General features: G+C 39.0%; 1 protein-coding gene across 15 annotated transcripts in view; it reads right to left on the minus strand.

Moving 5' to 3' along the window:
* The window catches only part of NRXN1 (neurexin 1), a 1,113,630-nt gene that overhangs the window by 565,006 nt on the left and 524,738 nt on the right, over nucleotides 1-23,886 (minus strand). For all 15 annotated transcript variants that reach the window (NM_001330096.2, NM_001330087.2, NM_001330083.2 and 12 more), the window contains 3 exons: nucleotides 22,987-23,109; nucleotides 13,825-14,206; nucleotides 12,397-12,587 (listed from right to left, as the gene is read on the minus strand). In NM_001330096.2, coding sequence (NP_001317025.1) covers nucleotides 12,397-12,587; nucleotides 13,825-14,206; nucleotides 22,987-23,109 — 696 coding nt within the window. The remainder of the gene's footprint in view (nucleotides 1-12,396; nucleotides 12,588-13,824; nucleotides 14,207-22,986; nucleotides 23,110-23,886) is intronic.

Consider the following 23,886-nt stretch of genomic DNA (forward strand, 5'->3'; position numbering starts at 1 on the left):
TCAGGGCCCCTTTCTCGTAACACTTTCACATCTCTTACTCCATTTGATCCTTGTTGCAACCCTTCACAATAGGTAGGGTGGTTATTATTATCCCTACCTGACAGATGAACAAACTACCCTTCTGAAAAGTTTAGTTACCTGCCCAGGGTAATACAAGCAATACAAGAATAATAATGCCAGCACTTCAGCGTTTGACTCCCAGGCTAATTCTTTTCTGATGCACCACACTCTCTCCTATTTTTACTAAAACCCTTCTCAATGACAGGAGTAGAATAGATAGAGGAGTTTAGAAATGACTGTTCTGGAAATTAAAAGAGACTGATAAATAGGGAACAAGTAGCAGAACTTATGTAAAGCTGTTATTTTTTCCCGAATAGTGTATAGAACAATTAGACTTTCTTTCCCAAAATAACTTTTCTTATTTGAAAGACAGGTTTTTTTCTTATTTCAAAACAAACGAACATTTATTTTGGGTGGGGAAGACCCAGTGGTATAAAGGGCAAATATAAAAGAACAGCTCTTTCCTATAATACGTCTCTTTAATGTAGGTGAAAAATTGGCACCGGCTCTCAACTTAGATATAAACAGGATAAAAAAGGTTATAGCCACCAGTGGTTTTCTGTGTAGCTTGAAAGGACAAAGTAGTATAAAGCACACACAAAAAAACTTACAGACATTGCCAAAGAGCTTTCAAAATATTATGAGCTTCCTGGAGTCAAATCACACTCTTGTTTTTCCTTAAGTATCTGAACATTTCTGTATTTTTTTTTCCAAAAAAGAATTCCTTCTGTGCTCGAAAGATGGAATATTATTAATACCAATAAGGTCATCACATCCAGTTGCTATAGTGTAATTTCCTAGTGCATGTCTCCAAACACTTTGTTCTTCCAACATAAGCTATTCTTAAGGAGAAATGGAGATACTTAAAAGCAGGGATCCCTCCTCCAGGTCAGGGAAGTGTTAGGAACTTTTCCTAAAGGCTAAGGAAATTAAGGGCTTTGAGAGCTGAATGAGCCTGCAAGTAGCCAGTTTGCACCAGCCGATGACTGATTGATAGGCCAACCCCCAATCACCCAACCAAGTACTAGATTTTCCAGAGCCTATTCTACATACCTATAAATGCAAATGTTCTGCAGAATATATATAAAGGACACACAGCAATTAAAGTTGTTAGCTGTATTGTTTGAGGAGAACTTCAGGGGCTAAGAAGACAGAACCAATATATAGATGCTATGCAAGGCATTGGGGAGAGAAGAGCATATAGAAAGTAAAGTGGAAATATCCAGTTCCTTTGCAACTACCAGAAGTGGAATTTTCAATGTTATACAATGTAGTAGAAAAGTAGAAGCTTGATTAAGATTTTTTATGGAATAGAAAGTGTTTTATTTTATGATATTTCCCCCCAAGATTAAAATAAATGTTAGCTTTTCACTGTAGACATTCAGAAGTAATCCTTTCAAATATTTTGGCAAATACAGATGGCAGTATTTAAATACTGCCGTAGACCTGGGTTCAAATTCTGTTTCTATTGCTTTGTGCTACGTGACAAATGAATAACTCACTTAAGCCTTCCAAGTCTCCATTATCTCATCTGTAAAATGGGGGCACTAATAATTCACTGATCTAATTGTTGTGAGGATTCAGAGACCGTATGTGTAAAATAAATACTAAAATTGAATTTCTGACTGAAGTGCCAACACAGTCAATATCAGACAATGTGAGAATGAGACAGACATCCAGATTCAAAATTTATCAAGGAACAGGTGAAATACTGGTTCTAAGGCCCTTGAACCCCTCAGCTACATTAAGGAAATAATAAAAATAAAATGGATCAGAAATGGGAAGGAAAGGTGTCTGAGAATATTTTTTGAAGTAGCTCGTACTATGCAGTGAGTTTGTGCTCCTACATTCTAGCTCCAAGCCTAGCAAGGCAGCTCTCAGAGGAGGGTCTCCTGGAGTGCTTGCTTTGCGTTCCCGACCACTGGAGGATGCAGAACTGGCACCCGACACGCTGAGAAAACTTTAAAGAGGTCAAGATGGAATGGAACGGAAATGAGAGCATTGGGAATGGGGTACACTTCCAAGGTTGAGGGGACAAAGGATCCATGGAAACTCCTCGTGGGCCGAGATAGGCCCCAAGTGCATGACAGCAAGCTGGGCAGGACTGCCTAGAGACAGGTCAGCCCATGTGGTAAGAGTCTGTGAGGAGGGAGCAGAAGCATCCCCCTACACAGGGATTAAGGTTGGAAGTTCTAGCAGAAAAGCCTTGGATGAACCCAAGAATGCACCAGGAGAGGAGGAATTCGAGGGATCTGCCAGACCAAGAGTCCCAACATCAGTTGATGTGCCTTGTCAAAAAGCTGTCGAAAGATAATTGCAGGAAAAGGCAGTAGCCGAACTTGCCCTTTGCCCTACTGCCAGTGACTGACCAAAGCAGAGGGCAGCCTCAATTCTGAGCTTTGATTAGTAACTCAGATTGGTGGTTTGTAATTTTAATGAATGTTATGTTTTATAATATAAAATTATTATATAATTACCTTAACAGTGAACCCAAACATTTACTCTAAATCAGTACGTGGTACAAAACCTTAACACAATACATTTTAAAGTGATCGGTTGCGGTAAAACCAAAAAATGATATTATAGCTTGACCACATTAGGACATCATACTTATTTAATGTAATGCTTTCACACATAAGCCCTTAACATGATGCATGACATATAGGCATGCATAAATGACATAATTGATAATAACGAGGATGATGGTGACAATAACGAAGGTAATTTATTATATCTTTGAACAGAGAATACAGACAGACCCAAGCCATAAGATAGTTTTTCTCACGAAAACACTCAGTTTTCTACAATACCACTCTATTGATGTGCATGATTCACACATGTCGCAGCCAAAAGACATTTAATGTCATTTTGGATATCATTTTGGGAAACTGAGTTCATTGGGTTTCACAAAAAATATCGGGAACTACACATGTTAAATTTTTAACTGTCAAAGGGCTGTTGTGTTAGAGAAAGAATGGTACACTAGTACAGGCCCTTATAGTGTTTGAATTCTTTTTACAGTCCCAGAACTCTAAGGGGAAGCCAGTGGTGAGAGGCCTAAGGAGTCTGTGTATTGTGGGTAGGGGAGTGTGAGTGGGGCATGAGGAGGGGAGAGGGAGGAGAGAACTTCCCACAGACAGGTTAGGAATATTGATAACTAACATCATACTAGTCAACCTCTAATAAACTTGAGATGGCAAATGGGCTCTGCTTGTACTAGGGTAGTTATGGGAAATTGGCCTAAATATTGCCAACACCTGTCAGATCCAAATGAGCCTTATGAGCCCTCCTAGTCCTTTTTATGAACCCTTGAGCATCAAAGAATACACTGGCAAACCTTGTGTATTGTTCTGGGAATTAATTGAGATGAGATACCATGTGCAAATCTTTATAACAGTACATGAGATACGACGAACCCTTAGAAATGGTTACAATAATTTCTATTTAGTATTACTATCATTATTGTTCTGGTGAGATGCTTAACCTCCCCAAGCCTCATGTTAGTTTCATCACCTGTTACATGGTGATAAGAACAGCAACTTCATCAGTTTGTCACAAAAATTAAAGAGAAAATATATGTAGCTGTCTTACCTAATGCCTAGTAAAGGTAGATGAGGATGATGGTGATGATGATGGTGATAGTGATATACCCTGCCTAAGGAAATACACAAAAGAAATGGCAGAGATGCTATTTCACCCAGGTCTTTCTGACGTCAAAGACTGTATTATTAATTATAATGCTATATGCTTCTTGTATTGTCCTTACGAACAACCAAAATAATTAATTGCAAAGGCCAAAAAGGGGCCACTTTTAAGAATGGACACAGAAAACCACATTCATGTGATGTCAATGGGGGACGCTGATTGACCTAATGTGGTTCCTAAGGAGCACTGGAAGTACCCTCTAGTGCATGAAAATAAAGAGCCACAACAGTGCTATGTCATTAAAAATGCACTTTCCTGTGTGGATAAAGATGGCAGATTTAGCTTTTGAGCATTTCTACCGTGGGAGCAGCAACTTTGTTTTAAGCCCACCCAACTTTCAAGTCTATTTCCATGTTGACCCATGGCTCAAGAGGAATTGTACAGTACCCGGGATGGAAGCTGGCTTTCTTCTGGCGGGGACTGTGTTATTACTGAAATCCAACTAGATGAGACAATTGCCTGAAAATGATAGTGACATTCCCTTTTGGGAATATAGTAAACAACTGTAACATTGCCCAGATGTCAGCCTGGGCCCCTTTGTCCATTACAGATCTAGATGAGTCTGGTTAGGACCCTCGCATCTGCACAGAAGGTAAAAATCTAAGGTCCTCCTTCTTCTGGCATTTCCTGTGAATTCCTGGGAACCTCTGACTATTGCTTGGCTTTGCTACCTCATGTACTCCCTATGTATAAACAAAGTCTCTGTCTCCACCCAAAAACAAATGCTGCTCACTCAAGCACTTATGAGTTTCATCATCTAAACATTTGGGTATCACCTAGCACCTAGTATTCTATCACCTTGAAGAATTTAGGCCCTATCCTCACCCCCTACTCCAGAGCAAGGCAAACCCTGTCCCTGAATTCTTGCATAGCAGGTTAAAAATCACACTTTTTGAGCCTTTGATATCTTCATTTATAACCCAAGTAGCCTATCCCCATATTTCTTTAAACAAATCCAGTAAACTCATATTTGTATAATGTGACTCTGTCTCTTATTCCCTCAACCTGGCACAGGGAGGACATCTGTCTTGATCAAATGTACTCTTCCAAGAATTTGGCACTAGAACTGCTAAACTTAAACGAGTCTTTCTTGGGTGTTTGAGTTGATCAGGGGTGAAAAGCCAGGTCTGAGAAGGCCAAGTTTACCAATGCTTGTGAAAGCAGAGAAAACTAGTGTGCAGAGCAGGAGAGGAACAAGGGAATGATCCTTGGGCAGCTTTTGGGAGGCAGCTCACAGCCCCAGTAGAGACCAAGTGAGGCTGCAACACTGGCTTATTGCTAAGAGCTTTCCTGAGTACGCCTTTTATGGAGCCCAGCATTGATCTTTCTCTGTTCTTGTCCGTGGGTTCCTGTAATGCTACATCCTGTCTCCCTGTCCCTTTCCACATCACTTGTCAGTCTGAATGGTTTTATGCTACTGTACTCCAAAGACTTCTGTATAAGTCTCCCTTCAGCAAAAGGAGGGAGGTCTGAGAGCTAGGAAAACCCTGAAGATTTAAATCTTACTTGAATGAGAGAGATATTGTCAGATATCTGCCTTCTCAGATGGCTGACAAAGACAGCTCTTGAACAAGAAGCTCGAATTCTAAGAAGACAACGCATCACCACTCCTGGCATTCCCTAAAGAGGGACCTGCACCAAAGGCTCATCTCTGGATGACGATGAGGTCTTGTGAGCAGTCACCTGACCTTTGAGAACTCAGCTCTGAGCACCTGCAGGTACTTGCTGCTCCAAGGCACAAATGTCACCACCTTGAAGAGCTCAAGCCATCTAATCACCATCCTGCTGGGACGTGGTAAACTGTCAGCTTATCATGAAAGGCATCTGGGCATAGGATTGAACTTTCCAGTAGCCCACACTTGGCGTGGAAAAGCTGAAGAAAGCTATTTCTCCCTGTGCACAACCTCCTTGTGGCTGTTCCAAGCATGGAAGCCAAGGCCTGTGGCTGTCAGAGTTCAGCTAGTGTGCTGGGTGAGAAGAAACCAGCCCCAGGGCTTTATGCATCTGCAAATGGGATGGGTTGGGATCTTTAAAGTTTCACCAAAAGCAGAGTCAATAGGTGGCACTCTCGCTACCAATCTCCATCTTGGGCCTGTGACTGAACACACCAATAATCTTCACCAATGAATCCACACAAAGGTGCAGATTTCTTTTCAGTGTGTTGCTGCAGGTTGTCACTAGCAGTCAATTGAGATTGATATGAGCAACGCAACTTCTATCTTCTGAGCTATGGTAAAGAAATGTGAAACTGGGATAGCTGTGCAGGTCAACCTCCCCTGAGCAGATTTCTCTCATCTGTAAAAGGAATTGGTCACACCAGACAATCCCCAAGATCACTTATACTTCCTAAGTTCACGTGATTCTAATGGTGGGAAGAGAGATTTCAAATAATATAGTTGGAGGGAGTTGATAAAACTAAATATAGACAACCCATGGTTAATGTCAGAAAAATTCAGAAACAAGTAAAATGGGTGAAGGAATTTTTAAAAAATGCTTTTAGTAGAGAATAAAGAATTTACACTCTGCTGAAATACTGTGAGCTGGGCCAAGAACCACAGGGAAGCAGAGGGAAGAACTCCCAAACCAAATGTTGGATAGCAGGTCCCAGATAACTGCATGGGAAGGGAATGTTTTAATCCCACTCTCAACTTCCCGCCTCCTTAAGGTAGGATTAAAACACACTGACAAAGGCTTTACAGTACGGAGAACAGATTGAGACAAATTCTGCAAAACCCGGGGATTCAATGGATGTGGCAGAAGAGAAACAGTTTCACATCTCTGTCTGTCTTTCAAGTAACTGCTCTAAAATTCTTGTGTAAGGAAAGGAGTAACAATATATCAAGTCTTATTTCTACATACTCAGAAACTTATTGTCTTTGTTCTGTACCATGGCAATTGCCTCAAAAGTGGTGTCTTTTCCCTGAACCTCGGCTCATCCATCCCATTGAAGCCAAAGGAATAATTCTAATGAGCATTGTGAACTCTCCTCTGCTTCTCAAAACCCTTTAATTTCACCTTTCCCATCTTCTGGCATGGCGTTCAGGGCCCTTCAAAATGAGAAAATTACCCTGCTCTTTTGTCAGGGGTTACAGACGGCCTTCCAACCCATAGTCTCCTTCTCTTCCCTTTCAAGTTCAAAAAGCTACCTCTGTGTAATTGTGTAATTGGACTAAAGAAGTGAGCCTAGCCAGTAGCAGCAGGGGAAAAGCTTATGAAGTTATAGCCTAGACCCAGGTCCACACACTGTATTAAACCCTGTACTGGGGGGAATTGGAAAGTGAGATGAAGCAGTGAATGGACAGAAGTGGAAACATACACAGGAATAAAAGCCATAGGTGTAAGCCACGAGACAGAAGAAGCCAAGATTGGAAGAAGCCAGCAGGCAGAGAGGAGCCATCTCACAGCAGTGCCAGCAGACAGAATAGAGCGAGGGTGGCTGCACTGCTGTCACGGTGGGGCAATGGATTAGGGAGCAGTGAACATGTGTATCCGAGGGAAAAACCAAGAGGATGGCTCTTGAGATCCCAGTATGACTCCAAGAACAAAGTTCTTATACTCTGTGAGGCCTCATTGCTCAACAGCTGAAAGGGTTTCTTGTCTGTCTTACTTCCTACTGGATCCTTAAAATAATCTACAAATGGAAATAGTGTTAATAAATCTCTTTCCCTTATATAGACTAAAAAAAAAAGTAACCTCAAACAGCAACAACAAGAAACTAATAAAGATGGCCTAACCACAGGACAGCAGGACCTTCCCTCCACTTCCGGTGCCATATCCTGCTCTAACGTTAAGCTCAACATCACTCTTCCCTGAATATTTTCTATTTAAACAAAGTATCTGGGCAAGACAAGTGGGCTGTCAGATGTCCTGTGGGCTGAATGTACAAAGCCTGGGCATGTTTAAATGTGATTATGACTTTGAATAGAATCTGGTTTACTGAATGACAGCAGTAAAGATTTGTCAAGTAGCAACATGAAAAGGTATAAAATGGAGGGGATATGTGTTATATTCAGGATTGGAGAGGGCAGGGAGCTGAGTAATAGCAACTGGTCAGAGATCAAGAAGAAAAGAGCAAGAATACTATTTATCTTCAAACTTTGCTTAGAGGTTGAGTATATTTGAAAAGAAAGTCCCTGTTGAGTTGTTTCTGATTAGGGACATTTAAGTGGCTTCGTAGCAGGATGAACAATAGCAGGCAGTTGCCTTCAGGGTGAGATTTAAGGAGGAATACTAGGAAGGTTGAGGAGGAGATAAATGGGTGATGATCCTGGTAAGAAGGAAAAGGGGCAAGATCAGAAGACAATGAAGACAATGCCAGAGCTCAAAATCCTTGAAGGAGTTTTGGGTTTGAGAGGGAGAACAGAGGAGGAAGAAAGGACAAAGTACTGCCTGGGCTGACCTAGATGTGGCCCATAAATAAATCACTGTACTCAGTTTTATGTAGTTTTGCTAGGTGGCCACCTGAGGGCACTCTATGCTACACAGCTAGGAATCTTTAATTTTCCCCCTATCAAGTAAACTATATATATCCTCAATTTGCTGAAGGATAAACTTAGCTAATGCTTTAAAGAAGGGTACTCATTGAAGGTGGGGGCCAAAAGCAATTCTTCCTCCCTATTTTTTCCCTCAACTAGATTAATAAATGAGCAAGACTGACCTCAATTTAAATCCCTGGGTAATTGCAAGGATTAAATACAGTAACTTCAGTTAAATCTATTTAGCATTTAGTAGGCACTTAATAAATATTAGCTCCCTCCCATATATATGCACATCCTAACATACAAATTTGCCAAATACAGGAACAAGAGAAGGAACACAAGGAGGAATCGCACCAACCATTTATCTCTCTAAAGAAGGCAGGGCTCAGAAGTCCTAAAATGAATACAAAGCTAGGCTAGGAAATCATTCCAGAGAGCAAATTTCTGCTGCTCCTTTCATTGCATGTTGCTGCTTGTACATAATAACCAGAGGGAATAGAACACAAACAGCTGGGAAATAAAGATGAAAGCAAAACTGTATCAGCAGGAAGAGACACACAACCCCCTGAGAATCGAGCGGTGTCATGAGAGATAAGCTGAACAAGGCCAGCTGCATGGAATTTATCTTCTGAGAGAAAGATCATTAGATTCCTACCCATTTCTGATCGTTTCTATTGGAGTCAAGGTGGAGAATGAAATACATGAGCCCCAGTTTTCAAAGTTCTACACTAAAGTCCTGTTCCTATAATGAAACAGAGCCACGGACAAAAGAATGCATCACTATAAAAGCCAACTGTGGAATTTTAGATGTCTGAAAACAAAAGAAATTCTACTTCCCCTTGCAAACGGAGCAGGTTGAGGTTTCCCCAACTCCCGGGTCCTATGCAGCATGTTTTGTGGCCTTCTGCTGCCCTCTAGTGTCTTTTTAAGGTATGGTAAAACATAAGGAGGATAAAAAAAATTCTCCTAATAATCCTAACCAGCCAACAATGTGACTTCAGCCCAGGGCTGGTAAAACAAACAAAAAAACAGTAACATTCTGAAATAAAAGCAAAACCAGGATTTATACAAAAATTTAAAAGTGAGTTAAATTTGGCCTCAACATAGATCTTGCATTATTTCAGGACTCTGAAATAATGGCATCTCTATCAGTCAATGCACTTTAAAAAGAAAGATGCCTGTTTTCTGTGCATCTCTCTCAAATGATTACTGCCTTGGTTGGTCTGAGATAGGATCCAGAAATATGAACTTCGCAAACACCACAACATGATTCTCAAGTAGCTAAAGTTGGCTGACCTTCTTTTGAGAAGCACCAAAGATGGCTGCAATGACTCTCAGCAGGATGGAGAGTAAATCTGATGTTTTCTTTAATTCTTTAAGAATACAATCTATTGACCAAAACAGGTCAACTTTCATTTTTCCTGCAGCTCAGTGCTACATGATTAGTATGCAAAGAAAATACTGCTGTCCATGTCTGAGCGAAGAGTTCATGTAGAAGTTCTCCTTTATGAATAAGTCCCTCTAAATTCCAGCAGGCATCCAGGTGGAAAAAAGAAAAAAATGCCTCGTTGCTCTTGCTCACCCTTCAAATATCCCTCAAACATTACTGCTGCAAAAAAGCCTTCCAGGTGGTCCCAGCTTGGTTTCAATGCCCCACTACAGCTCCACAGCACCTAAAAGTGCTGTCCTTCTCTGTCCTATAAGTGCTCCCTCAACGCCAGTGTTCTCATAGAGACGGAGAGCTTTGCATTGCAGAAACCCTGTTGTCCTCTTTCCAAAGTCAATGCTCCATAAATACTCATGCTCTGGCCAATGCCCACAGCCACCCTTACCCAAAGTGGTGATGATGGGAGACAAGACACATCAGGCCCCACAGCAGGCTGTTCTCAAACTCCCTCTAGCTGATGGTGCACATGATAAGAGGCACCGTGGGATGACTGTTGCCATCGGATCACATACCCAATTTGTTAGCTCAAACTTGGACTAATTTTAGAAACTTGCTCTTACTTTTCTGCAATGCAGAAGGTATTATTCTATACTAATGATTAGCCCCTTCACATGGGAAATTCACAAACAATTTTAATTGTGCTTTTTAAAAAAACACAAGTACACTGAGAGTTCATTACTATATATCTTAATACTATGTAATATGCCATTTTTAAGTTCATACTTACAGTGTTTTTTCTTTATTATGGGCAAAGCCTGTTTTATCTTCAGAGTTATCCATCACTTAATGCTTTAATAAAAATAAACTCTGAAGTACTTAGGTGTGTAAGTACCCCCACCAGAAAGAATCCTAGTCTACAATCTCCTATTACCTTCACTTCCATTTGTTAATGAAAAATAAGCAGATATTTACTTCTCAGGAGACAGTGTCCTAACTATCTGAAGAAATACAATCCATTGTCTCACACGGCTTCTCTGGACCCTCAATGTGTAGGGCTGTACATGCCACATACTTCAACCAATTATAAACTGCTTTTTTTTTAGCCATTTTAATTTCCAACAGAGTATCCCTAATTTCCAGTGAAGTTCACTTATACTTACTGACGTCTCACCTACACAAACAGGGCACTTTTTGCTTTAGCTTTGGTGACTCGATCAGCACACTGGATTTTACAATCTCTCCCTTTCTTTTGACAATTACCACCTGAGCCCACTGTGCAAAACAGGGGGCCATGAAAAATACAGAAGAAAAAGCTCTTCAATCAGAGGGAATAAAGAGAAAGAGGTTTGGCCTGTAAGAAGCAGTTCTTTGAATTTCATTTTATTTTTTGAGCCAAGCTATTAGATTTGTGGGTACAAATAAGATCTCTTTGAAGTTAGCAAGAAGCCCACTGTGAAAGAAGGGAGACGGCCATTACCACACATTTTATATGTTGAGCAAATAAAGTCCCAGGATTCAAAATATATTCTGCAATTACAGAAAGCAAAACACTTTTCTTTCTCCTTTCACCTTGTTTAGAAAGAGCATTTTTCTCTAGAAAGAGTTCTGTTGAGGCTGGGTGCAGTGGCTCACACCTGTAATCCTAGCATTTTGGGAGGCTGAGGCAGGCGGATCACCTGAGGTCAGGAGTTCAAGAGCAGCCTGACCAACACGGCAAAAACCTGTCTCTACTAAAACACAAAATTAGCCGGGCGTGGTGGCGGGTGCCTGTAATCCCAGCTACTTGGGAGGCTGAGGCAGGAGAATTGCTTGAACCTAAGAGGCAGAGACTGAAGTGAGCCGAGATCGTGCCACTGCACTCCAGCCTGGGTGACGGAGCAAGACTCTGTCTCCAAAAAAAAAAAAAAAAAGAGAGTTAAATTTTCTCTTTCCAGTTTCCTAACTCCCCTCCTCCGATTTTCTACATTGAGAATAACAGGCTAATAATACTTTCTGGAATGCCTGTTGTAGTGTTAAATTAGATGGGATACACACATATATTCTTAGTGAATCACAAAATGTGATTCAAATAGAAACTTCAGTCATTTCTCTTCTATTATTGACATGTTTTCTCAGCATTTTGTCACGTGCATTTGAGAAATGAAGTATCAATAAGGAAGAGAAGCGTATGTTAAGACTTTCTTAGCAGCTGGTGAAAGAAGCATTCCGTGTGTGTGTGTGTGTGTGTGTGTGTGTGTGTGTGGTGTGTGTGTGTGTGTGTGTGTGTGTGTGTGTGTGTGTGTTGGGATGGGGGATAGAATTCACTGTTGGAGACACAGGGTTTCTAAGCCAGGCTCAAACTCCTGTTGGTCAGGGACTTAGGATCCAGGAAACCTTACCAAGGAAAGAAAACTAATAAGCTCTATAATAAGCTCCTATATATCTGGTTCCCTGACTCCAAATCAATTGAAAACTGTTGGGACTTAAGTAACTTACAAATGCCTTTTTAATATCAAGACCAATATTATATTTTTCTCACTTTTTACATTTTAATCATGCATGCTTCCTTAGGTGCTGCATTTTTTGAGCTGTTATTAAAAATACATAGGTTCCTACCACATTAAAGGGGAGCAGAGGCTTGTGTGTTGTATTGTTAATTATGTGCTGAAAATGAAATTCTGGTCAGTCTTTGCAGAAGGTACAAACACACCCCTAAGCAAAGGATTTTCCATGTGAAGGGAGACCGTGTGGTGCAAGGCTCGTTGCTCTGACTTAACATGCACTTACTCTTGAGGTCTAAGTTCCTGGCTCCGGCGGTGATTTGCGTTGTGATTTTTGTGTCAATCTTTACAGTGTGGAGGTTGCTGGTGTCCCTTGATATCATCACGTTGTGCCACTGATTGTCATTGAGAGGTTTATTTGAGCTTCCTTTGATGAGGTTAGCACCATTTCCCAAATCAAACACGTAATGTAAGTACCTGGGAAAAAAATGAAAGAGGGGAAAGTGCCATCACTTTTTAAATTTTGATGAACCTAAAGTAGATATTACAAATGGAGATTTTTTTTCAGGTGGTTCCATCCTTACTAGAAGTCATGACAATAAGTTACATAGAAACTCAGCTATCAAGAAGGTAACAAACACTATTCTGTTTCAGCAAAGAGGATTATTCAGTGTTTTAACTAAAGGAAACAGTGAAAATTATTTTTAAAATCATGGTCTACATTTAACTTTATGAATTTGGAAAGCAATATCTTTCACCACGCGCTCCCTGTTTCCACAATTCCCTCCATCCTTTTCTAACACTTAAAATGGCCATTCTTCTCGTTCTTGCACTTGCTTTTCTCCTCTATCTCGATTCCCTGTTTGAGGATAGGGAACGTGTACTCATCCTTCAACATCCAGGTCAGATAGCCACTCCCTGCTCCACATGTTTTTCTAATTTACCTGAAGAGTCTCCTGAGCCTTTGAATGTGATCACCTCAAGAAACATGTCACAGTGCTTTTCTTTTCTTTTCTGTTTATGTGTTCATCTACAAACCCTAGGATTGTATGTTGGTGTGTGTGGGTATGACTCACAGTGGTAGAAATCTGAGATGTGCATACGGGTGGCAGAAGTATATATATTTATATCCGTGCATGGCACCTGATGTAGCATATTGTAAATATACACCAATATTTGCAGAATGAGTGAATAAATGCTGAAATCAATTAAAATACATTAAATTTTCCTCACAGTTTTAAGGCACGTTTACACAAATCTTCCTTTCTAAATTCTCTAAGGCACTCTGACATAGAATGAAGTTTGAGTTAAAAGGGTTTTTTTGAAATTTAAACAATCTGAGTACTTGAATTAGCTATTTAATTTAGCATAGACTATCCTACAAACCTGTATCAATGCTTTTGTGGAATTACATTGTGCATAGTCAGGAAATGCCCATTTGAATTGTAACATTCATGAAATGCCTACCATAAATTAGAGCCCAATGTAATTTGTATCTCATATGTGAAAATGTAGGTGCAAAAAACTGTCCTAAATCCATATTAATTTAAGATACCTAAGAGATGATTTAAACAAATGCCTTCTTATTTGTCCTCCACCTGCTCCGGCCCACCACCTTATGAGCCAGTATGTTCTTCTTAGTGTATATTTTTGGAAATTGACGTCCATTTTTCCAAAGTTTTATTTATTTGCTATTGAACAGGCATGTACTCACCCTTTAACTAATTCAACCACAATAAAGTCATTTCCATCCCCACTGTTATATAGAATTAATCCATCTAGGGATGTTGTCTTGAACTGGAAAAAAAGATGCATAGAAGTGTAGGCTTGCAAGGTAGCTAAGGCAACATAGCTCGATTTGGTCTTGAAGGTGACAGGATCTGCTATGATGTTCCTGAAGCCAAATCTGGCATTAAGCTCACAGTAATCTATGTCGCCATTTTTACACAGGTCAATGTATGCCATTCCATTAAATGTCAAGCTCTGCAGGTGTCCAATGAAGTTGGAGGGGACAGAAGAAAGATACCGTCGTTCTGTGATGATGCCAGTCTCTATGTTATGGAACTCCAGCCTAGTATGATCACCTGCCATTTGACCTAAAAGAGAAGATAATATATGATTATTTTCTGTATCTGAAAGGCACTTTCAACTTTAGGCTTTCATAACAATATCACATTCTAAAATACAAGGAGCCAAATCCCTCCTTGGTACTCAGTTGCATATAGGAAGAACACTTAAATGATGCCAAAAGGTAAGCCTAGATTATATAATAAAACATTCTTAGGCCAGGTTATAATCCCTGTCCAAATTTTAGTCTTAACAAAAAATATCCTCATTAACAAAAGTAATGGTATCTTTTAAAGGCGAAAAATAAACAAATTAGCAAGAGAGTGAGCACATAGTAAAAGAAGGAGAGGGAGGAAAAAAGGAAAGAAGGGAGAGTGCACAGAGAGACGCATTAGGAGCAGTGACTATTCTCAGTCACCCAACTAGAAAGTGATACATCTCAGCCTCATGGATAGGTGATGTTATTCCTTATAAATGTTCTTCCAGGAAAAAAAAATGTGACTATATATTTTCCTATACCCAGTAGAAAGAGTGGAGAGTTGCAGCCCTTTCTTCCAGTAATGAAACATGAAAGTGTGTTTGAAGTTAAATATACACTATTCACTTTCCCTCTTCGTGCTCAATAATGACCATAGTTTTTGTTCATGCTAGTCTTCTAAATACATTAGAAATCCTGTTGATTTCTTCACCTATGCCTTTTTTTGTCCTTAAGTTTTCTATAACTAAATCAAGCAAAATACACTAATTGAAAGCTTGCCCAATTTTGATAATACCAGTAAAATTGGCCCACCATGCCCCATACCACAAGGCAAAAATCTTCTTTAAACATCCTAGGGTGAAGCTTGGATGCAAATTTATTTAGCAACTGACTATTCCACTCAGTCCTCATTTCTCTCTATCCCTGCATATTTCCCTGTCAAACCCATTAATAGCAAACTTAGTCCCATCTTTATCTCCAGAGTGATCATTTTACCTGTTTGCAAGGTTGAAGGTAAGATAAATAAGCAAAGATGTGAACTTGTTTTCTAAATATTAAAACACAACATAAATATAAGGTACTTGTATCAGTACCAGTGATTCACACCCAACATCTTGCTCTTGTCTAAATAAACTGTCAGTCACTCTCTTCTGCAACTAAAAATGCTCATTTATTTTGTAATCAAGTTCTTCCACGTGCTAGCTTCCCTGCCCGATTTGCCATAATTGGAAAATGTTTCAAGTTACCTCTTTCCATCATCCACATTATTAATGAAAATATTAATTAGAGCTAATCCCAGAATCAGCCCCTGAGAAAATGCATTGAACCTTTTCCCCAGGGGTAATGAAGACTGAACAACCACCTATGTGTGTCCCCTTTGGCCAGTTTGACAAATTTCCATTTCTTTAGTCAAGACAGTAAAATATTAGACAGTGTTTAAGGAAATATCTGTAAGTAAAATTTAGACGTCATGCTTTTTGTTGTGCAACAAAAACTGTTTATATGTTTGCTTAAGTGACTTTGATGATTATACATATATTTGTACACAAAACTCCCCTGAACTGTACTTAACCCTATTTCATTTTCAAACACTCTTTTTTAGTCTTGATCCTGGAAACAACATTCTACTCATCCTTGGCATGTTCTCTTTTCAGCCATTGGTTTGTTCTGATTCCCTTCCTGCAAACATTTTTAAAACAAAAATGTCACCATAAATAATTGTTTCGTCTCTCTCTACCCTCACTACCATGCCTCCTGATTGTCTATCTGATGCAAAAGTACTATTACATCCTTGTCAATTCTGGTTTCTCCTGTGACATCATTTCTATCTTCTCCCCCAGTTCTTCTTGTTCAATGACCTCAATATTGTTCTGTGGGGATCTACTTCTTTGGTAAAAAATAAAATTAATCCTTAATTATTTCCAAATATAAAGCTCTAAAGACACCAGCAACATTGAATTAAGAAGCTAAGTACAATGAAGAATATGAGAAGCTTAAAAATCGTCTAGATGCGGTGGCTCACGCCTGTAATCCCAGCATTTTGGGAGGCCTAGGGGGGCAGATCACCTGAGGTCAGGAGTTTGAGACCAGCCTGGCCAACATGGTGAAACTCTGTCTCTACTAAAAATACAAAAATTAACTGGGCGTGGTGGTGGGCGCCTGTAATCCCAGCTACTCGGGAGGCTGAGGCAGGAGAATCGCTTGAACCTGGGAGGCGGAGGTTGCAGTGAGCTGAGATTGCACCATTGCCCTCCAGCCTGGGCAACAGAGCAAGACTCCATCTCAAAAAAAAAAAAAAAAAAAGTCATATGGGCTTTGATATCCCTTTGGGTTGATTTTTATTCTATGCCACATTAAAATATGAGCCTTAACTCAGTGACCCCTACCCTGATCCTGAAACTGTCATGTTTCATCTTAAAGTCTCTATTGATGAAACAACCAATAGTAAAAAAATTCTGAAAAAAATATTTCTAACACTTGAAATTAAATATTACCTCCAGTTGTCAAGTTCTTACCAGCTCTAAAAGAGGAAAGACCAGTTAATTCCAGACTAAGGAGTTCAGTAATAAAAATAAGACAGTATATCTGTTTTCCTCTCTCAAAGGAATAGAATATGCACACAGAGCATAAATAATAAAAAGGTAGTACAACAGCATTGAAGCAACTATGGCCCAGTTACAAGATAAAAAAAAAATATAATTACAGTGATGGTAGATATATTTGTTCACTGGGGAGAATTAGCCCCCAAAAGCCATTATTTGATGACTAAGAAAATATTAACTGATTGTTGCCTTCTTTAAAAAATTATTTTTTCTCAGAATTTTACTCCAATGTTTAATCCTCATCAGTAATACAGCCACTTCTACTACTGTAGATATTTGTTGATTAAATAAGAAAAAATTATAAGACTTCGAAGGGGAAAGATTTTTAATGTTCTAATGATTTAAAAATGCACCATCCAAGGAAAATTTGGAATAAGCAAAATGCCTCTGATCACAATATTTAAGGTATAACAGATTGACAATAATCTCCAACAAGACAACAACCAAAACATGTTTCCTAGATGCTGTGTTTGTATAGAAATCTCAATATTTCCAAGTCAAATATTTTTACCAAAATAGATAGCAAGGTTAATATGTGCTCTGCGTTAGGTTACATTTCTCATGTCGAGCAAAATAACCCTCCCTTACATCCACTTGTTAATTCACTTAAAATTGCTGATTGTGTGGTATATGTGTCCGGTGCTAGCCTTGGTATTGGAGAAATAGTGTTGAGAGGGGCAGAAAGGGCCCATTTTCTCCAAACTCATGGTCTACGGGAGAAAGGCAGACAAAAGAGGTTAAGGTTGTAATTAAATCTATAATAACAAAACTCAGAGAAATGTTATGAATTTGATGAACGAGGTATTGTGTTGGTAAATGTGAAATGGAAGAAGATGCCAGGTTTGATATTTAAGCTAGATTTGAAGAATTAAAAAGAGAAAGCCCTGTTAAGAATTGGAGAAAGGGAATCAAGGGTGGATTCCAGGAAGGGGAGACGGATGAAGGAAGGCTTTTGGATAACAAACAGCTACAGAGCATGGCTGGAGAGCTGGGAACAAGTAGGTTAGTGACCCACATGGGATTGAAAGGAGCGGGAGCGCCAGGGTCCAGATTTCTCATAGTGCTTCTTACATTCAGAGCTAAGGAGGATTTGAAGCAGGGGTTAACCATGACTCGTGTATGTGTGTGTGTGTGAGTGTGTGTGTGTGTGTGTGTGTGTGTTTATTCCCTTTGTGGGTGCAAGAGATTGGAGAGTGAACTAGGGCAGTTATAGTAGAAATGAAAATCATCAACAAAAAGATAATTTCACAGATATAATTTCCAGGATTTACTAATGATGAGCAGAATGAAGGAAGGGAATGATGATGCCTGGCTTTCAGGCTTGGGTAACTGGATATATGGTGAATGTTGTTCCATAAAGGACATACACACACAGATTAAAAAAAAAAAACACAATTCTAGATTTTTACACAGACTGGATGATGAATTGAAGCCCAGTGACTTCCCACTTAGGGATTCCACAAAATTTGTACAACCCCTTGTCATCTATGACCTAGGAAATCTCCTTCCTTGGGCTTCTCTGCTGGCAAATACTATCCTCACGATCCTAGGTGAGGTGCAAACATTCCCAAGAACAGCTTGAGTATGTACTGCCCTGTGTTCAACAGATAACTGACTTAATAGAATTACGATAAAACTTAAAGATATGGGAAAATGTAGGACTTTGCATGAAGAGTCTCTAGTACCTTCCTTGCAGAAATTCTTCTCATTCAGTGATTTCTGACTTGCTGTAAAATTTAATAAGAAACTCCCATTGCTTCTCTGATTTATGGGTGGCTTCAAGTGGCCACTAGGATATTTGAAGGAAATCTCAATCTAAAGCTTTCATTGCCACATTTGGAAGCCTTTTATGTACTACGTAAATCAAGACTGAATTATTCTTATGAATTGTTGGCTTTCATGAGATCTCTGACAAAATAGAAGAAGAAGGAAGGAAGAAAGGAAGAAAGAAAGGAAAGAAGGAAGGAAGGAAGGAAGGAAGGAGGGAAAAAATAAACAATTTACCCAAGGTATTTAAAAAATAACTCAGCATTTGATGTTAAGTCTTAGGAAGGAAGAAATGAGACAAACAGTCGTAAAGTAATCCTGACTTATTTGTTGCCTTCAACTAAGAAGGCAGAACTACTATAACTGCCCTAGTTCACTCTACAATCTCTTGCACCCACAAAGGGAATAAATACACACACACACGCATACCCACACACACTCAGACACACAAACACACACACACACGAGTCATGGTTAACCCCTGCTTCAAATCCTCCTTAGCTCTGAATATAAGAAGTGGTACGGGAAAAGCAATTTTGAAACTATTTTAGATGCATTATTGGATTAAGCAAATCAATAAATGACATTACTGGGAGCCAGGATTCTCATCTTGGATGAAAACATATGAAAGTATGGAATGGGAAAAATAACGAAACAATGTTGTAGGTATGAAGGTAGCAGTGTAAACTCACACTTTATAAAATGTGCATTATGTGTATGTTTATATGTACATATAATGTATATGTCTGTGTGTAGATACATTTACATGTATGTTTGGGTGTAGGTATATATACTTGAATACATTTCTTATCTCTGTCTGCTGAAGGGGTCAAGTAGCAATGATACCCCAGCAGCACTGAGGTCACCTACCACCCAAATCTTGGTCTGTATCATTCCTCACTAAATGGAAATTAAATGGCTAATTCTAGGGGCGAAGTGTGGTAGACAAAAGTTGTACCTGGAACATCCTGTTATTCCGAGAAGTAAGAAAAGGGCCAGGCACGGTGGCTCATGTCTGTAATCCCGGTACTTTGGGAGGCCAATATGGGTGGATCACCTGAGGTCAAGAATTCAAGACAAGCCTGGCCAACATGGTGAAACCTCATCTCTACTAAAACTACAAAAATTAGCTGGGCATGATAGCATGTGCCTGTAATCCCAGCTACTTGGGAAGCTGAGACAGGAGAATCACTTGAATGTAGGAGGCGGAGGCTGCAGTGAGCTGAGATCACTCCACTGCACTCTAACCTGGGTGACAGAATGAGACTCCATCTCAAAAAAACAAAAAAAAAAAGAAAGAAAGAAAAAAATAAGAAAGCGCTAAAAAAATAATTGGAATGAAGGCATGTCATGAGATCATAGAGGCCAAGTTAATGAAACTCACACTGGCAAAAATTGAAAAACATTTGCGCACCAAAATCATAAGATAGCGTAATTATGAAGTATTATAAAAACATAGCAATAGTGGGTCTACAACAATAAGAAAAAAAGGAAGGGAGGAAGAAAGAAAAAAAGAGAAATGAAAAGAAAGAAAAATTAAAAAAAAAATAGGAAAGAAGGGAGAGAGAAGGAAGAGCCCTTGCTTACAGCAGAATGCTAAGCATTGACTGTAAATGTGGAAGGAGTGCTGGAGTTTGAAAATAATCATTTTTTGTAACTCTCAGAGTAAAGATTGAATCAAGCAAAACTCTGCAATAGATACTAAATCTAGGGCAAAATTTTGATGAGTTACAGGATATTTACATGGTCTTAATGTCTCCCCACAGACAGTTTATTAGTTGAAAGGGAGAAAACGTAGTAATTATACAATGGAGAAACTGGACAACATGTTGACCAAGTGGTCAAATTAAATCACCAAAGACATGGGCAGCGTATGCCCCAGATGGGATACTGTATAGAGGCCATAACATCAACAACGCGGTATTTCACCCAAGAATGTAAAATATACATTCAGTCATGAGGAAATATCAGATAAGCACAAACTGGTGACTTTATATTAATACAAAGCAGGAAGAGATTATATACTTCAACAATGTTAATGTGATGAAAAACAAATAAAGTTTATGGAAATGTTCTAGATTAAAGGAGGCTAAAGAAACATGACAACTAAAAAAAAAAAAAAAAAAAAATAGCTGGCCCTAGACTGCGCACTGTGCTGGAGGGGAAAAATGCTTATTGCGTATTGATAACATTGAATCAACTGACAAAGCTGGAATATGGATTACAGATTAGAAAAATAAATTGTTATCTATGCAAACTTTACTGAAGTCAGTGGCTTTTATTTCTTAGGCAAGGGGATATTCCCATTTTTAAAAAATACATGCTGAAGTATTTCGGGTTAAAGGGACACTGTGTATGTAACTTACCCTCAACTGGCTAAGAGAAAAGTTAGAGAGAGAAGAGACAGTGAGAGAGCACAAATGTCAAGACAAACTGGCTTAAATGTTCACAGTAGTAAAGGTATAAGGGTATTCTTTGTATTATTTTTGGAACTTTTTATAAATTTGAAATTATTTTGAAATAACTTTCTAAAATACATTTCTTAAAAAAAATGTTTTTCACCATTCTTTTGTTTTCATCCTGCTACATCCACCGCAGTACAGGACTTATTACTTTACACCCTAGACCATCCAAAACACTGCCACAGAATTAATTTCGCTCAAAACATATTTTCTCCACTTACTCTTCAGTTTAAGTGCAGTGACTTCCAATTTCCTGAAAGTCTACGAAATATAAACTACTTCATCTAGACCATCAAGTCATTGGCCTCAAAAGGCCATTCTAGCACCATGCACTTGCAAGAAGCAAAATAAAGCTTCTTAGTTCCCTGAAAATTATTCTAGCCCCACCAGCATCATTCTTTCTTGTCTGGAATTCTTTCTTGCATTATCCTTTCTTTAAAGCCTAGATCAAACATTATCAATTGCTTTAAACAATACCCAAAACCAAGTTCCTTAACTTCTCTTCTGAACTCCAAGACTATAAAGTACTCAAGTCAACCATTCAGTAGTTCATCTGTTACTCTATGTAACATATCACCCTCTATAATAATCTGTGTTTTATATGTATGTATGTATTTGCCTTATAATATCATGCATTGTCTGATAAAATACTTTCTATAGAGCCATACACTTACTAGATATTGACAAATATAAAGCAAGGGACGGTAAGTCAAAAACCAACAAACCAAAACACACAAAACAAAAAAATAAACGTAGGTTCTCTCCTCAGATCTCGTAACACATTCCAATAAAACATAATTCACTTATCCTCTTCGAGTGCCACTTACCTCATCTACAAAATGGGAATATGTGTGTCCTATCTACTTCATAGGACTCTAATATTCAAGAGGCACTCAGAGATTTTAAAATGTTCTGTTGTAGTTCTGGCATGATCTTGCCGTTGGCAGCTGCCTCTTCCCAAACTCTTACATGTGACCTTAGATACTAACTGTTCATTTCCATGCCTTTTGATAAAACCCAGTTGTCCAAACTGTGGATGCTGATCTAAGAAACAATTCATTCCTCTTCAAAGAACTGTCCTAGACCAAAACTAATTGAACTCCAATGATACTCTTCTGCCCTGTAAATTTTTTTTACCTTCCTTTCCTAAGTTAAGGAACGATTGTTTCAAAAGTTTAAAATCCTGTAGGTAATATATCCACATTGACACAGTTGACTGTTCTCTGGGCATGGGGACCTCCTTCGAATTGAATGAACAGACACGTATCCACTGTACAAGGACCATTTTGTGCTTTTTACCAGAATAATTAACATGGCTATCTCTCTGAAAAAAGAAAAAGCAGCTAATATCCCAGTGGGTCACGTGCTTGGAGTTGTTTTCAAAGTAAATAAAGGCAAAAGGATTTTTCTTCCATGAGGCTTTCCTATGTTTCTAGGGTGGACCTGCATACAGCTCACCTCAGGAATCTAAAAATGGGGGTTGAACTTGACATCCTTAATATTAGAATTTAACCAACTGAGCTGAGTGGCCAAAAATAATCTATTATAGCTTAAAATGAAAAAGTGTTTCATCTGAAAGCCAGATAGATAAACGCCAGTATATCTATCATCTTACCTAGAAGTTAAAAGGTAAAACTTGCAGTTGTTCATTGCCAAAATATATACAAAACAAAGAAACTCAACAGAAATTGGCATCTAAACATGACTGCAATATTTGATGAGGCACCAAGATATTTATCAGGCCACAAAAGAAAATATATTATAATTTCTTCTTGCACTATTAAAGGGCCAAGAATATGACATAAAATGTGTCATTTTTGAGGAAAAACACCTAACAGACTGCTTATTTAATAAAATAGTTACTAGAAAAAAATAGAATAAAAATGGATTGTGTGAATACATTTCAAGTTGTGTACCAGCCTTGGTGTGCAAAACCACCTGCAAGAAATGAGAGTCAAAAGCGTTAGCATAGGAAAAGACAATGGGACAGAGGTGTTTACCTGTCATGGCCTGTTGGTCATCCACTGTTAACTTTAAACTTTTTCCACGCCGAACTACACGCACTGTGTGCCACTCGTTATCATTGAGGTTATAGCCAGCAAAAAGAGTCTCGGGACCTTTGCCTGTAGAATATGCCAAACAGTCATTATGGACACTCAGAATCAGTCAAGCAAATGAACCTCACAGAGAGTGAGAGAAAGAGACAAGGGGGGAAGGTGAGGGAGAGAGAGGAGAGAAAGAAGAAAGGAAGAAAGAGAGAGAGGAGGGAGAGAAAGGAAACAGAGAAGAGGCGGGCTGGACCAATTTTCAAGCCCATTAGAGTCATAGCAAGCAAGGAAAATGACAACTTTTACAAACATTCAGGTGTGACCATTTAAGAATCTTTAATCCTACGCATTGATCCATAACAAGTGAATTAACCTGCTGTCATAAATAGGCACAGTCAATACAGCACTGGGAACCCACCCAAATTTACACACACATTTTTAAAAATAAATTCTCTGATTTTTAGTTACCACTTTCCTGCTAACAAAGTGTCTAGCCATCATGTAACCTCTGAGCTCTAGAAGACATCTGACTGTAGCCCATTAGCTAATCGTTTTCAGTGAGATAAGTCTCCCAGTAGACTCTGGGAGAAGGTACTATCTTGTGTGATGGCGGCTATTCCGCTCTTATACCTGGTACCTCCAGTGCTCAACACGTTCTTAGGTTCTTTAGCCTCCTAAATTTATGGAATGTTGAGTCTAAAAAACACATCGAAATAAACCTTACAACTAATTGACCTGTACGTCACAAATCTGTCTGTGTGTGGCAGAGGCACTTCTGGCAGGTGTAGGTATAAGTATTGACTCACAGTAAGTGGACCGAAGAAAAGGAAAGAAAAAAAAAAAATAGGCACA

The sequence above is a fragment of the Homo sapiens genome, chromosome 2, assembly GCF_000001405.40.
Source record: "Homo sapiens chromosome 2, GRCh38.p14 Primary Assembly".
NCBI classification, from domain to species: Eukaryota; Metazoa; Chordata; class Mammalia; order Primates; family Hominidae; genus Homo; species Homo sapiens.